General features: G+C 37.0%; 1 protein-coding gene across 18 annotated transcripts in view; it reads left to right on the forward strand.

Annotated features, from left to right (window-relative positions):
* The window catches only part of PCGF5 (polycomb group ring finger 5), a 128,119-nt gene that overhangs the window by 67,011 nt on the left and 47,670 nt on the right, over window positions 1–13,438 (forward strand). The window contains exon 3 of one of the 18 annotated variants that reach the window (NR_046435.1): window positions 4,108–4,731. The exons of 16 other annotated variants lie outside the window; for them this stretch is intronic. The gene's annotated coding sequence lies outside the window, so the exon portion shown is untranslated. Of the gene's footprint in view, window positions 1–4,107; window positions 4,732–13,438 lie in introns of those variants that run through there. One more of the 18 variants, NR_046310.2, reaches the window with a different exon arrangement.

A 13,438-nucleotide genomic window follows, 5' to 3' on the forward strand; every position in this document is an offset into this window, starting at 1 on the left:
ATTATCAGTTATGGTTTTTTTAAGTGAACTATTTCAGGTTTTTTTATTTTAAAAATTTATACTCAAGGAATTAATCTCAGAGATTCTTTTAGGATATGCAGACTCTTAATTCGCTGGTTCTCAAAGTGTGATTCCTAGACTAGCAGCACCAGTGTCATTGCAAGTTCTAGGAACTTGTTAGAAATGCAGATTATCAGGCCCTACCCTAGATTTAATGAGCCGGAGACTCTGAGAGTGGGCCCAGCAATCTGTTTTAACAAGCCCTCCAGGTGATTCTGAAGCATGCTTAAGTTTGAGAATCACTGTTCTAGTAGTAGTATACCTGTGGAGCTCCTAGCAGATTTCATTCTCAACTGTCCCATTGGAAGAGGAAGAGGCATTTTTTACTGCCACTTATGCCAAGATTACACATACTCTTTGTGTTTCTGCCAGCATGATTTCATTTTTTATTTCAGTGAAAGTAATTCCAGTAAGTTATAGTTTAATGCCTAGTATGTGCACCAAAATGAGATATATGTGATTTCATCTTAGCTTTACAATGACCTGGGAGCATTTTGGAGTAGATGTAGGGGGAGAGAGAAGGTATAGAGATTTATCTTCATTTTATGGATGTGGAAACTAATGGATAAGTAACTTGTCTAGTCTCATAGCTAATGAGTGGTGGACCTATATTCAACTCCAAAACCCATGCTCTTTAATATACCATGGTACTTTTTTTTTAATTTTTATTTTTGTTAGTAAGCCTCGTTTTTCAGCTATTCTTGCTCTGCTGAACTGACTTAATGTTATACCAGTAGTTTTAAATGAATGCTAGATGGAATAATCTGGAAATGGTTGAAATGGCAAATTTTATGTTACATTTATGTTACATTTATTTTACCACAATAAAAAATAGAATCATCTGGGAAGCTATTTAAGCATACGCATGCTCAGGACCCTGCCTGGGGAGATAAAGTGGGTCTTGTGGTAAGGCCTGGGCATGCATATTTTGGAAGAGCTCCCCAAGTGATGCTGATGTATACTCCTTTGGGGTATTACTGGCACATCTTATTCAATTAGCAATTAACTATGTACTATCTTGTATTACTAGTTTGCTGTTGCCCTGTATTGTTATTTAACTTGAACAGTTAATTAACTATCATCGAACAGACATTTATTGAGTACTTTGTGTGTCAGGCACTGTGCTGGGGCATGAGATAATAAAGAAGGGCACAAGATAATAAAGAAGTCTCTGCTCAAGAAGTATAATTCTAGTAGGAAAACTAATTTTAAAAATGCCATATTAGTGATAAGTAGTATGAAAAAGAACAAAGCACAATTGTAGATAGGAGACATGGAGGTAATTTATAGTGGGTCAGCCTCTTTGATATGATGACATTTGAACAGAAACCTGAAGGGACTGAAGGACTCTGTGGATATATGGGAAAGCAGTCTGTATAAAGGGAAAATTAAGTACAGAGGCCTTGAGATGGAAATACACTTGGCCAGTTTAAGGAATAGCAAATCAGTTAGAAGCCTATTACTGTAGGAAAGCTAAAAGATTATAGGGCCTCCAACCAAGGCTATAAGATATGAAATGGAGGTGGAGAAGGGTGGTTGTATTGTGGACATACTTTGAAGGAAGAACCAATTGGCTACCCTAGAGTTATATTCTACTTCCGTTTCCCGTTTCACCAAGCATGGAACCTGGACCCAGTCCACAGTGTGTTTTGTTTTGCTTCTTTGAACATTTGTTCATTGTTTTTAATTTTTGGATTCATCCAGCAAAAACTGTCAACTCTGGATGATGAGAAGAAGGCACAAACTCTCGCATTTCTATCTATATGCTACAAATTTTATATATGTCCTTTGGAAGAAAATTTTCTTTGGGTCATAGTGAAATCCCAATTTAAATGTAACTTTTAAAAAAAGGAAAACAAAAGATTATAGAAGTATAAACAATTAGCTTATAAGCAAAGGGATATATATATTTTTATATATATCATATATTTGATATATATCATATATGTATATATGATATATATCGTATATATGTATATACGATATATATCATATATAACATATATATAACATATATATATAACATATATGTATGTTCTCAACAGCAATTTAAAGCCTAAAGGGGTAAATTAAATGACAGTTTAACTGCACATGTCATCCTAGCCTGAAAGATCCCTTGGTGGCCATCAAGCCCTTTTACTGAGAGAGAATGAACATTGTAGAAATGTGATTTAAATACAATGGTAAGTCCCAAATGTGGCCTTTATCGTCAACAGAGAACACAGAAAGTAGAGTAAATGATGGAGTCAGGTACTCCATCGCATCTCTGAGGAGATCTGAGGATTCCGGTAGCACTAATCTTTATGTGCTCTCAGGTCCTTTGATTTCTGTATTGTTTGTTTGTATTTATATTGAAGCTTATAGGTGAAAACTATCCCACTTGCAAGGTATTCCCTTGTTAGAAATATTTATATACAAATAAATACAAATATATATTTATACAAATAAAAGAATACTTTGCAAGTGGGATAGTTTTTGCCTCTAAGCCTCAATATAAATACAAACAAATATTGATAACATAAATTGTACTGCAAAGCAGTATTCCTCAGCCTTTGGTTGGGTCTTTGATATGTGGTGATATCCTGGGTTTCAACTCTTCTACAAGGTTTTCTTATATATAATGTAGGATAGATACAGTTGTTCTGTGATTTGGGATGGTTATAAAATTAAATAACCAAATGGAAAGGCAGAAAGTGAGAAATGTTAAGTGACATTGTAGTACCATATAATATTTTAGATCTTGACTTAGGCATATACAAAGAGTATCTTACTTATTTTATACAAAGTCTACAATGTTATGATGCTACAAAGAATGAGTTAAGAATGAGTAAACGCTAGGTTTTATGGAGACTCATAAGAAAATATAAAGATTTTCGTCTTACTATTCAAGTTTGAAATGCATAAATGAAGCTTTATAATTGGTGTGCAAAACCAGACATAGAACCTGCCCTTCTGGACTCTCTGGTCAAGTGAAGAAAGAGTAATCAAGTTAAGAAATGTAAAAAAAAAAAAAAAAAAAAAAAAATGCTGTTAAGTGCAATGAGGAAGGACAGACTATGATATAATAGCAGATGTGTATCAGGATACTGGAGCAGAATGATATGCAGAAGAAACTCGTGTTTTGTGAAATTCCTGAAGCTACAGACCATATGCCATCTCAGGCAGATAGTAGCCCTTGAGTAGTGGTGCAGAGGACTACTTATGGGTGGGAGGCAGGGATTATTAGTAGCTCTCTCTGCTTTGATATGGGTAAATGAAGTTACTTCAGTCTTCTTTCAGATGACTATGCAAGTGCATTTCAACTCTTTCTCACCTCAAACCAGATAGGTTGGTGCTTCCCCATTCTCTCAGAGAGAAATTCTGGATCCAGCACTGCTGGGCTGCCCTGTAGAAGTAGGTAGATATAGAAAGAAGGGCCCAAAAGGTGAGCTCATCAAAAGGAAATAGGAGGTAGAGATGGTGGGGCAGCCCAGGGTCCTGGCAGGAGATGCAAAAAATCACATCATCATATCACATGATCACATTTGATGACATGATCAAATCAGCATCATAAAAACCACATATTTAGACTCTTCTTACCTACTAATACCTCTTCCCTTCAGTAGGCCAGGGACATTTGATAAATAGATAAAATTTTTAAATGAGTTAAAATTTTCAAACACAAATGAGTTTTAGCTTTAAATGATCACTTAATACTAGATGAACTAAATCCGCATTAACCATGGTTTACATGGCTGTGAGATAATTTTAATAGCCTAACAAACCAAAGGAAATAAACATGTCTGCACAAATAATTATTTTATTATTTAAACTAAGTAATTACATATCAGGCACTTTGCTAGCCACTGGGGGTAGAGTGGTAAATAAGATAAATGTGAAATGTATACACTATTGAGCAAACTTATATGCCAAGAAGAAATTTCTAACACATGTATTTAGATGTATGTTCTTTTTTTTTTCCTGTGTGAACTCATGTATTCTGAGACTTCAGCTACCTGTGCTGAGGCCTCTCAAATCTTTATTTTTGGCTTACGCTTTTCTTCTTAGCTGCAGAATCCTACTGGATGTCCACTTGGATGTCCTGAAGCCACCTGAAACTCAGCATATCTACGAATGATCAAATGGGATGCCAGCACTCAGTTATCCAAGCAAGAAATATGCTCCATGCTTGACTCTTTACCCTCACTAACAAAACTGGGCAAAGTCCTGCTGGTCTCTCTCTTTAATACTTCTCAAATCTGTCCCTTTAGTTTCATCCCTCTGTTACTGTTCTCATTCAGATTCTTATTACATCTCACCAAAGCCACTGCAGCACATTCTTAACTGTGTCCAAGTGGTAATAATTAAAAACAGCTTACTGTCTTTATCATTATCACTCTTAACCCACCCTAAAATTTCCTAAAGGTATCCCGTTGACCTCAGGATACATTAAAGCTACTTAGTGGTGACTGGTTTCTGCCTACCACTTCCTCCCCTACCACCTAACACTCACACATACAAATACTTGGTTCAACTGTTTGCTCTCCTTGAAATGAATGCCTCCTCTGTGCCCAGCTAGCAGTTACCCATCCTTTAAAACTCATCCCCTCTAAGATGTGCCCTACCACCTGCAGATTTGGGTTAAGTGTCTCAATAAAATCTTAAATGAATAAATGCATGGCTAATAAGTTATTTTATTGTGTATTTTTCCTTTCAAAGATTCAAATGCAGTGATAGGTAACTTGAAACATGTAGGCATTGTTGGTTAGGAATTACAAATTTAGGAAAACTGTCTCCTAGGATCTACATAGGCATCTTTGGGGTCTTAGGGAGAGGGAGAGACTCTGGACTGGGGACTAGAAATTGATGGCCCTAGATTAAGGGATGTTCTGTCTCTTTCACCAGGTGACCCTGGTGAAAAGAGAAACTTTAAAGCTGCTTAGAATGTATCTGCTGGGTGGTATAGGTTGTTGATTTAAAACAAAAGACTTTTTACTTAAACTAAGGACAAAGGGGCTATGTTCCAGCAGCTCAAATGTGACCAATACAGTGTATTGGTTCTTAACCCTTTTGTGGTCAGAGGCCCCTCTAAGAATCTAGTGATTCTTTCCTCAGAAAAAAAAAGGATGTTTATAGACATAGAATTCTGTGGTACAGAAAAGGAAAGCTTTCTTTCCTCTTTCTGCTCTTCAGAGATTATGGCAGTAATCCCTAACCTAAGAATAAATTATTTGCAAAAACACATTGTTATACTAATTTTTTAACTTCTACAAAGAAGGATTAATTGATAATATAGTTGACGTGATAAGAGACTCGGCGATTTTATGTGGTAATATGTAAGAAGGAATAACTTAACCCTAAGATGATAGAATTTAAGTATTACCAACCATTTATTGTTTTTGAACAAATATCATAAATATACAAGTACTTAAGGTACAGAAAACTCATGATGCTTTGATATTCAATATTTGAAAATCTTACACTACATACACATGCTACTCAAAGTGAAACCTCTGAATTAGCTGCATCCACCATCAGCAACATCACCTGGGAACTTATTAGATAGAAGTGCACATTTTGGGGCTTCACTGTAGACTTACTGAATCAGAATCTCTGGAGAGAAGGCCAGAAATCTGTAATAACAAGCCCTGCAGGTGATTCTCTGGTACACTAAAGTTTAAGAAGCACTGCTTTGGATCAGACATTTATAATACTAGCATCCTTTAAAGTAGGCAGTTTGTATTTTTAATCATAGAATTGTTAAAATAAATGCTAATAAAGGAATGAAATATTAGCTATTGTTTTATTGAATGTTTGTTATATGAGGCATCATGAGCTTTACATTCATTGTTTTATTTTACCCAACCAAGAACCCTTCTAGTTAGGTGGTATTATTTAAGCATCAACAGATGTTCATTAACTTTTACATGTGCCAGTCATCATTCTAGCCACTGCAACACAGCAATAAATAGAACAGGCATAGTCTGTGCCCTCCTAGAACTTAACATTCTAATAGGACAGACAGACAATAAGTAAGTAAAGTGGAATTTCAGGTGCTATACATGACAAATGCTATGAGTTAAAAACAGAAAGGTCTTTCTTGGAAGTGGCCATCTGAGCAGGGACTAAAATAATAGGAAGGATCAATCTATGAAAAGGTTTAAGGGAAGAGTATTTCAGATTCTTATTCCAGAGGTAAGACTGAGAGAGGTTAAGTAACAGCCAGTAAGTGCTAGAGCTGAGTTCTGAATCCTGGATATGTGACTCAGGTACATCTACATAATATATGTTATGACATTTTCCTAATTTTATTTTTCTTTTTTCTGCTTTATTTTCTAAAAATTTTTAAGCAACATGTTAATTAAAATTATAGCTAATATTTATAAAATAAACCTGTTTTCATGACTATGTAACTGTTGTGTACCCAATACTGATCTGAATTTATGATTCTGAATGAATAGCCATTTTAATGAAAAAAAGATATAAATTGAACTTTACCATAATGTATTCTTAATAAGAATAAAAAACATGTTTTGGAATAAAAAAGGCCAAAATAGAAATTATATTTATCATCTCAGTAGGTGCAAATATAATGTTTTAAGATATACTAGAAATGATGTCATTGGTATACTGATGTTACATATTTCAAACAGTATTTTGGCAGAAACTAGTCATTCATTCATGAAAATGATTATAATGTTCATTTTGATGACTTTTTTTAAATAAGAAAGAATAATTATAGGTCTTAATCTTGGTGTCATCTATTATTAGTAATAATGTTAAAGTTATGTGTATAGTTCGTTTAGCTTTTGAAACTATGTATTAGATAGCAAGGAATGTTTAAATAGTTGAGCAAAACGTCATAGTGGACACTAAAGCACACAACCAAAGGACAACAGACGTAAAAGAGTGAAATCTTCTATATTGACTTATGAGAATATATCTTGGTCAGAATGAGTTGGAACTGATATCAGGGTTGGGTTGAGAAAAAGTGTGTAACCTAAACTACAAAAATATTCATGGTTAGAAATCATGATCAGTATACAGGTATGTTTAAGAGTCTAGCACAAGGGTTCAATATAAGCATTATAAACAATTAGTCTAACTTTGTAAAAAAGACAAAAGATAATTTTCATTTGGGTACTCTGAAGACTTCTGGTGTTTTATATGTACTGATTTTTACCAGTATTATGTCAAAAATTTAAAGCCAGGGCGCAAAGCTATATTTTCTCAGAATATATATGTATTCATATATACATATATGAATATATAATGTCAGAACCACTGACATTCAATTAATAGCAAATGATCAATGTTATATTTTAGTTTATATTGAACTAACATTTATTTATTTAGAGACAGGGTCTCACTCTGTCGCCCAGGCTGGAGTGCAGTGGCAAGATCTCGGCTCACTGCAACCTCCCTACCCCACTTCCATCCCCCACAGTCTCAAGCGATCTTCCTATCTCAGCTTTCTGAGTAGCTGTGTTACAGGTGTGCACCACCATGCCCAGCTAGTTTTTTTTGTATTTTGTGTAGAGACGGGGTTTGGCCATGTTGCCCAGCCTGGTCTTGAACTCCTGGGCTCAAGTGATCAATCTGCCTTGACCTCCCAAAGTGCTGGGATTATAGGTGTCAGCCACTGTGCCCAGCCTATTTATTTTAGAGACGGGATCTTACCATGTTGCCCAGGCTGCTCTTGAACTCCTGGACTCAAGCAATCCTCCCACCTCAGCCTCCCATAGTGCTGGAATTACAGGCATGAGCCACCAGTGCCTGGCCTAACTTACTTTAATTGTCAAAAAAATTACTAGTAAACTCAGTCGTCTCCCTTGCTTTAGTTGAAAATGTAAGCTTCTTTCCCACTTGACTGCAATAGTAACATGTGTAGGGTCTACAATTTTGGTTCCCTTTAGTATTCCTAACCATTGTGTTCTCATTTATATTATAAATCATTACTAAGCACTTTGTCTTCCAGATACAATTCTGGGCACTTGAGACTCATCAAACAACCTAGTAGGCAATAAACAAATGATAGTGTGTATTATATTAGGTGATAAATACTGTAGAAAAGGGGAAAGTCAAGCTGAGTAAAGGAAATTGGCCAGTGAGGTGTTACAATTTTAAGTAAACTTGTGTTGAGGATAGGCCTCATTAAGAGTGACTTTTGAACAAAGACCAGGTAAAGGAGTTAGCCAGATATCTGAGGGGAGAGGTGTTTCAGGTAGAGGGAATGGCAAGATTAAAGACTCTAAAGCAGGAGTGTGACTGAGTTGTTGAGAAATGACCTGAGGCCCATGTGGCTGGACAGCAGTGAGTGAAGGAGTGTTAGAGGTGATGGGGTTGGGCATGGCCGCAGGCACGTGGCGCAGTTCTTGTAGAGCCATCTTAAGGATTTTGCTTTTACTCTGAGAGAAATGAAGATCCGTTTCAGGCAGGGTTTTGAGTAGAAGAATTATATGATCTGATTTATGTTTAAAGGAATCACTCAGACTACTATGTCGAAAGCAGACCTGTTAGAAGGCCATTGCAGTAATCCAGGCAGGAGATGGTAATGGCTTGCATCAAGGTGGTGGTAAAAAGTGATCAGAATCTTGATAGGTTTTGAAGGTAAATTCATATTTGCTAATGAATTGTATGTGGGTCATGAAAAGAAAACGGAATGTAAGTTATAACATATTCAAATGGAGATGTCCATTTGGGAGTTGGACTTATGACTCCTGGAATGATCAGCATATGCATCATTATTTAAACAATGAAAGTTTGAAGGGAGGACCAAGGACTGAGCCCTGAGGTACCACTAAAAGGAGAAATCAGTGAGATAGGAGGACAATGGGAATAGTAGGTCCTGGAAGGCAAAGTAAACACATAGTGTTGAGGAGGTGGGATCAACTGTGTTAAGTGGGTTGAGTAAGATGGGGTTGAGAATAGATTCCTAGATTTAGCAATGCATAGGTCATGGTGGTCTTTTCAAGAGCAGTTTCAATGAAGTGGTAGGAGCAAAAGTCTGGATAATGTCAGCAGTTGGAAATTTTTTTATTTTCTGGTTTTGAATATTGTACTATGAATACATAAGTATTTAATCTTAATAAAGTAAAGAAAAGGTGAAAAAAGAATGGGAAGAGAGGAGTTAAAGAGAATAAGTGCCACTATGTCAAGGAGTTTTACTGCAAAAGAAAGCAAATAAATAGCTAATAAGGGAAGTAGGGTCAACAGAAGTGGTTTTAGGGGGTTCTTTTTGAGCTGGGGAAATATGTTTAAATGTCATTAAGAATCTTCAGTAGATGGCAAAAGATGTAAGTGAAAAGGGACAATTACTTGATCAGTGTTCTTAGGTCATGGTGACAGGATCTGGCATATAGGGCAGAGGATGGCTTTAGATAGGTACATGAAGTTCTGGAAATAGGCAAGAACACAAAGTATAGATGCTAGTAGGTGAATAGGTGTGGTGGTAAAAGTTCTCTTTGTTTCAGTTATTTTATTGCCTTTTGTTTTCAGTAAAATAGAGGTCCTCAGTGGAGAGTGAGGATGGAGGAGGATATGTTGGGGGTTTGAAGAGAGAGGAGAAGGTGTGAAATACTAGCAAGAAGCGTAATGGACTTGGGGCATTGAGTATGACAGCCTGGCAGATGAAGGATTCACTTGAGGTTCATGGTCATGAATTTAAGGTGAGAGACCAGTCAGCATGGTTGCATGTTTTTCTTCCACAAAGTTCCACTGTAATCTTGTAGAGGCAGAGTACATAGAGAGTTAGATAGAGTTAGCCAGGATTAGAGTTTAGTTGAGCAAGTATGACCAAAGAAGAGAGGGGAAGGGGAGTCGAAGTACAAAAGAGTGACACTATCAAGGGTATGTGTGAGGAATTGATTATTTTGATTGATCATGGAATTTATATTGGTAAGACGGGGAATGGGGCCATCCCAGTCTTACCACTGAGCTACCAGCCTCTATGACCTAGGGGTCCCACTCGACTCTACAAGCCAGCCTACAGAAGTAGGGTAACCTTTTCTGCCTTCCTAGACCTTTCAAGGTCTGCTGGCTTGCTCAGTCTAAGATCCCCAGACCATGCTTAAACCCCCAGACTCTTTCCTAACCCTGTTCAAGCAAGGTGTGCTTCGCTGCCTGTTGCTTTGTCTTAGCAAAAAATAAAAATAAAAAAAAATAAAGTGTTGTACTCGGTAGAAGAAAATGCTGTCCTTAGGGTTCTCTGTGAAATTGCAACTCGTGTAGGCCTTTGAAAGAAAGAAACGTGCCAATATACGGCACATTATGTAATATATATACACATATACATACATAAGAGAATAATTAGTTCATTATACAAATAAAACAAGAAGATGCATGGAAGCGAATTACAGCTATTCTGGATTTTTTAAATTAGTGTTAGTTTCACGTGTAAGAATAGGTATCAAAAGCAGGAAACTGATGCCTCTTCTCTTTGAACATGACCACAGTTTACTTATAAACTGTTAGCAGATAAGAGTTTTCAAGACAAAAATGTATATAAAATGAGCATTATCAAGAAATGTGTATGAAGATTGTGAACTGCTTAAGGAAGGAAGAAAAAATATGCATCTAAGTTGACAGATAAAACCAACACACCTAAAAGATTTTAACAAAGGAAGTCAGCCTTTGGTCAGTTTTAATAAACAGAGCATTACTAATCAATGAAGACACTTAAAGACATGAGAGAAAAGATTATTATTGTTTTATCATCAGTGATAGCAGAATTAGCACTCAAGAGCAGAAATTTGTATATTTTGACATCAAAGCTGGGAAGCTCACTCTCTGTGATACATAAGAGACCTGGGTGGACCACACATACATCTAAGATAGCAACAACAAATGACCTTGTACCTTTTGTGTAGACACCCTCAAGAACTTGAAAATAGGAAATAGGATAGCTCTATAATAGTTCAACTATGAAATCAACATGTAATAGTGCATCAGAGAGGGTATATGCAAAGGAATTGGGAAGCGGCAAAACAAAATAGCTTCTAGACCAGTGGGACTGTACTGGAATGTAAACATATGTTTATTTTTAACATAAATTAAACATAAAGTGAAGGAAAGAATGCATAATAGAAAAGCATTGGTCAATCTTGGACACACACCTCACCCTACCCCAGTAAAAGAAGTGTACTGCATTCAAAGATAGGCTCTTCCTATTCAGGTGAAGAAATGTGTCTTAAATTTCATACTTGAGTTGCAAGACTATCACTAGGGTAGAAATGGCTAGGGTAGAAATGGCGGCAGGGAATTAATACCAGTGAATGATACACATTTCAAGTTCCATCGGCATGATATCTGTTATTTATGATTAGTGCATCAAACTAATCATAGTCTGATATTATTCAGTATTGTGATGCTGATTCTCCTTATCATTTTATGCTCATCCAGTGATCTAATTTATGGTAAAGCTCACATTTATTGAATACTTACAAGTTACCAGACACTGTAAACCAGTAAACTTTACATATATTATCTCCTTTAAGCCTCACAAGAACCCTGTGAGATAGGTACCTTTGTTATCTTCCTTGTACACAGAAACACAAAGTAGTTTGCCTAATGGCAGTACTGGGATTCAGATCTAGGCAGTCTGCCTCAACATTATCTGGAACAACTATGCTATACTACCTTGGTTTTTCATGTATATCTGCATTATAGGGAGAGTACATTGATCACAAATTCTTTAATTATTTTTTGTCCTGTCATAATGGTTTCTTAATGGTGATAATAAAGTGACTTCTGATGATGGTTTAGCAGAGAGCCAAATCCTGGAATGGGCACCCTAACGATGGTACTAGTCAGTAAGATTTTTGTGACTACCTCCTACTCTCCCTTGGCCAATGTTTCCGAGTCATCTTTTGGCTGCATCAGTGAGAGGGTTTTGTAGAGTTATAGTCCTGGTGCGAATCTCCTAGATATTCTGAATTAATTGGTCTGGGATGGAGCCTGTGAGTCAATTCTTTAAAAATTCTAATTAGTGATCATGATGCCCATTTAAATTTTAGAACCACTGCTTTAGATGATGCAGTGGCCATTTTTCTATTAATTTGTCCAACAACCTGGTTCAAATCTAACAAATGGTAAAAGTAGGGAATTCACTTAGTAAACATTAGGCAAAAGTTTAATGATGTTTGTGATGAGGTAAGTATAAAGGGCCAGGTGTGCTGGTTAATCCCAGTACTTTGAGAGGCTGAGGCAGGAGGATCGCTTTAATGTGGGAGTTTGAGACCAGCCTGGGCAATATGGGAAGATCCTGTCTCTACAAAAATTTTAAAAATTAGCCGGGCATGGTGGCCGATATGGTTTGGCTGTGTCCCCACCCAAATCTCAAATTGAATTGTAACTCCCACAATTTCCATGTGTTGTGGGAGGAACCCAGTGGGAGGTAATTGAATCATGGGGGCGGGTCTTTCTCACGCTGTTTTCTCAATAGTGAATAAGTCTCACGAGATCTGGTGGTTTTAAAAAGAGGAGTTCCCTTGCACAAACTCTCTTTTTGCCTGCTGTCATTCACGTAAGATGTGACTTGCTCCTCCTTGCCTTCTACCTTGATTGTGAGGCCTCCCCAGCCATTTGGAACTGTAAGTCCAATAAACCTCTTTCTTTTGTGAATTGCACAGTCTCAGGTATGTCTTTATCAGCAGCGTGAAAACAGACTAATACAGTGGCCCATGCCTGTAGTCCAAACTACTCAGGAGGCTGAGGCAGGAGGATCACTTGAGCCCAGGAGTTTGAGGTTGCAGTGAACCATGATCATGCCACTGCCCTCCAGCCTGGATGACCAGAGTAAGACCCTGTCTTAAACAAAGAAATAATAATAAATTAAAAAAATATGATATGAATTTTTGATTTTGATGCCAGGGACCAAATGTTACTAATTCTGAGATGCATTGCATAGTGGTTTGGATTTTAGGCCTGGAGCTGCGCAGCCCAGGGATGGATACCATCTTTGCTGCACAGCTGTGCAGCTGTGAGCAGCCTAGTCAGGCTCTCCAGCACTACATTCCTCACTTGCCCAGGGAGGATAGTAACTGTCCATACTATAATCCATACAGAGTCCTGAGGCCAAGCCTGATATTTGGTTAGTGCTCATTAAATATTAGCTAAGTTGTTACTTAAGTGTTTTCCCACCTGAGGACATCTTTGGTGAGCCTAACTCCCTTTCTGACCCAGGTGCTTCTTATGGCTATAGAATCTGTGTGGAGTAGCTGTTGAGAATGAAGACTCTACTTGGTCTGTATACATAGTCTTAACCTTAGACTAGGACCTTTTTAACATCATTCTTGGACCAATTGGGTTAACCACTACAGCAGTTGAGCAGTTAGAGAGTTTGGCATGAAATCTTTAAGATATTTTTAAAATGTGCTGTACTGCTAGTATGGACTTCAAA

The sequence above is a fragment of the Homo sapiens genome, chromosome 10 (genome assembly GCF_000001405.40).
Source record: "Homo sapiens chromosome 10, GRCh38.p14 Primary Assembly".
Classification (NCBI taxonomy): Eukaryota; Metazoa; Chordata; class Mammalia; order Primates; family Hominidae; genus Homo; species Homo sapiens.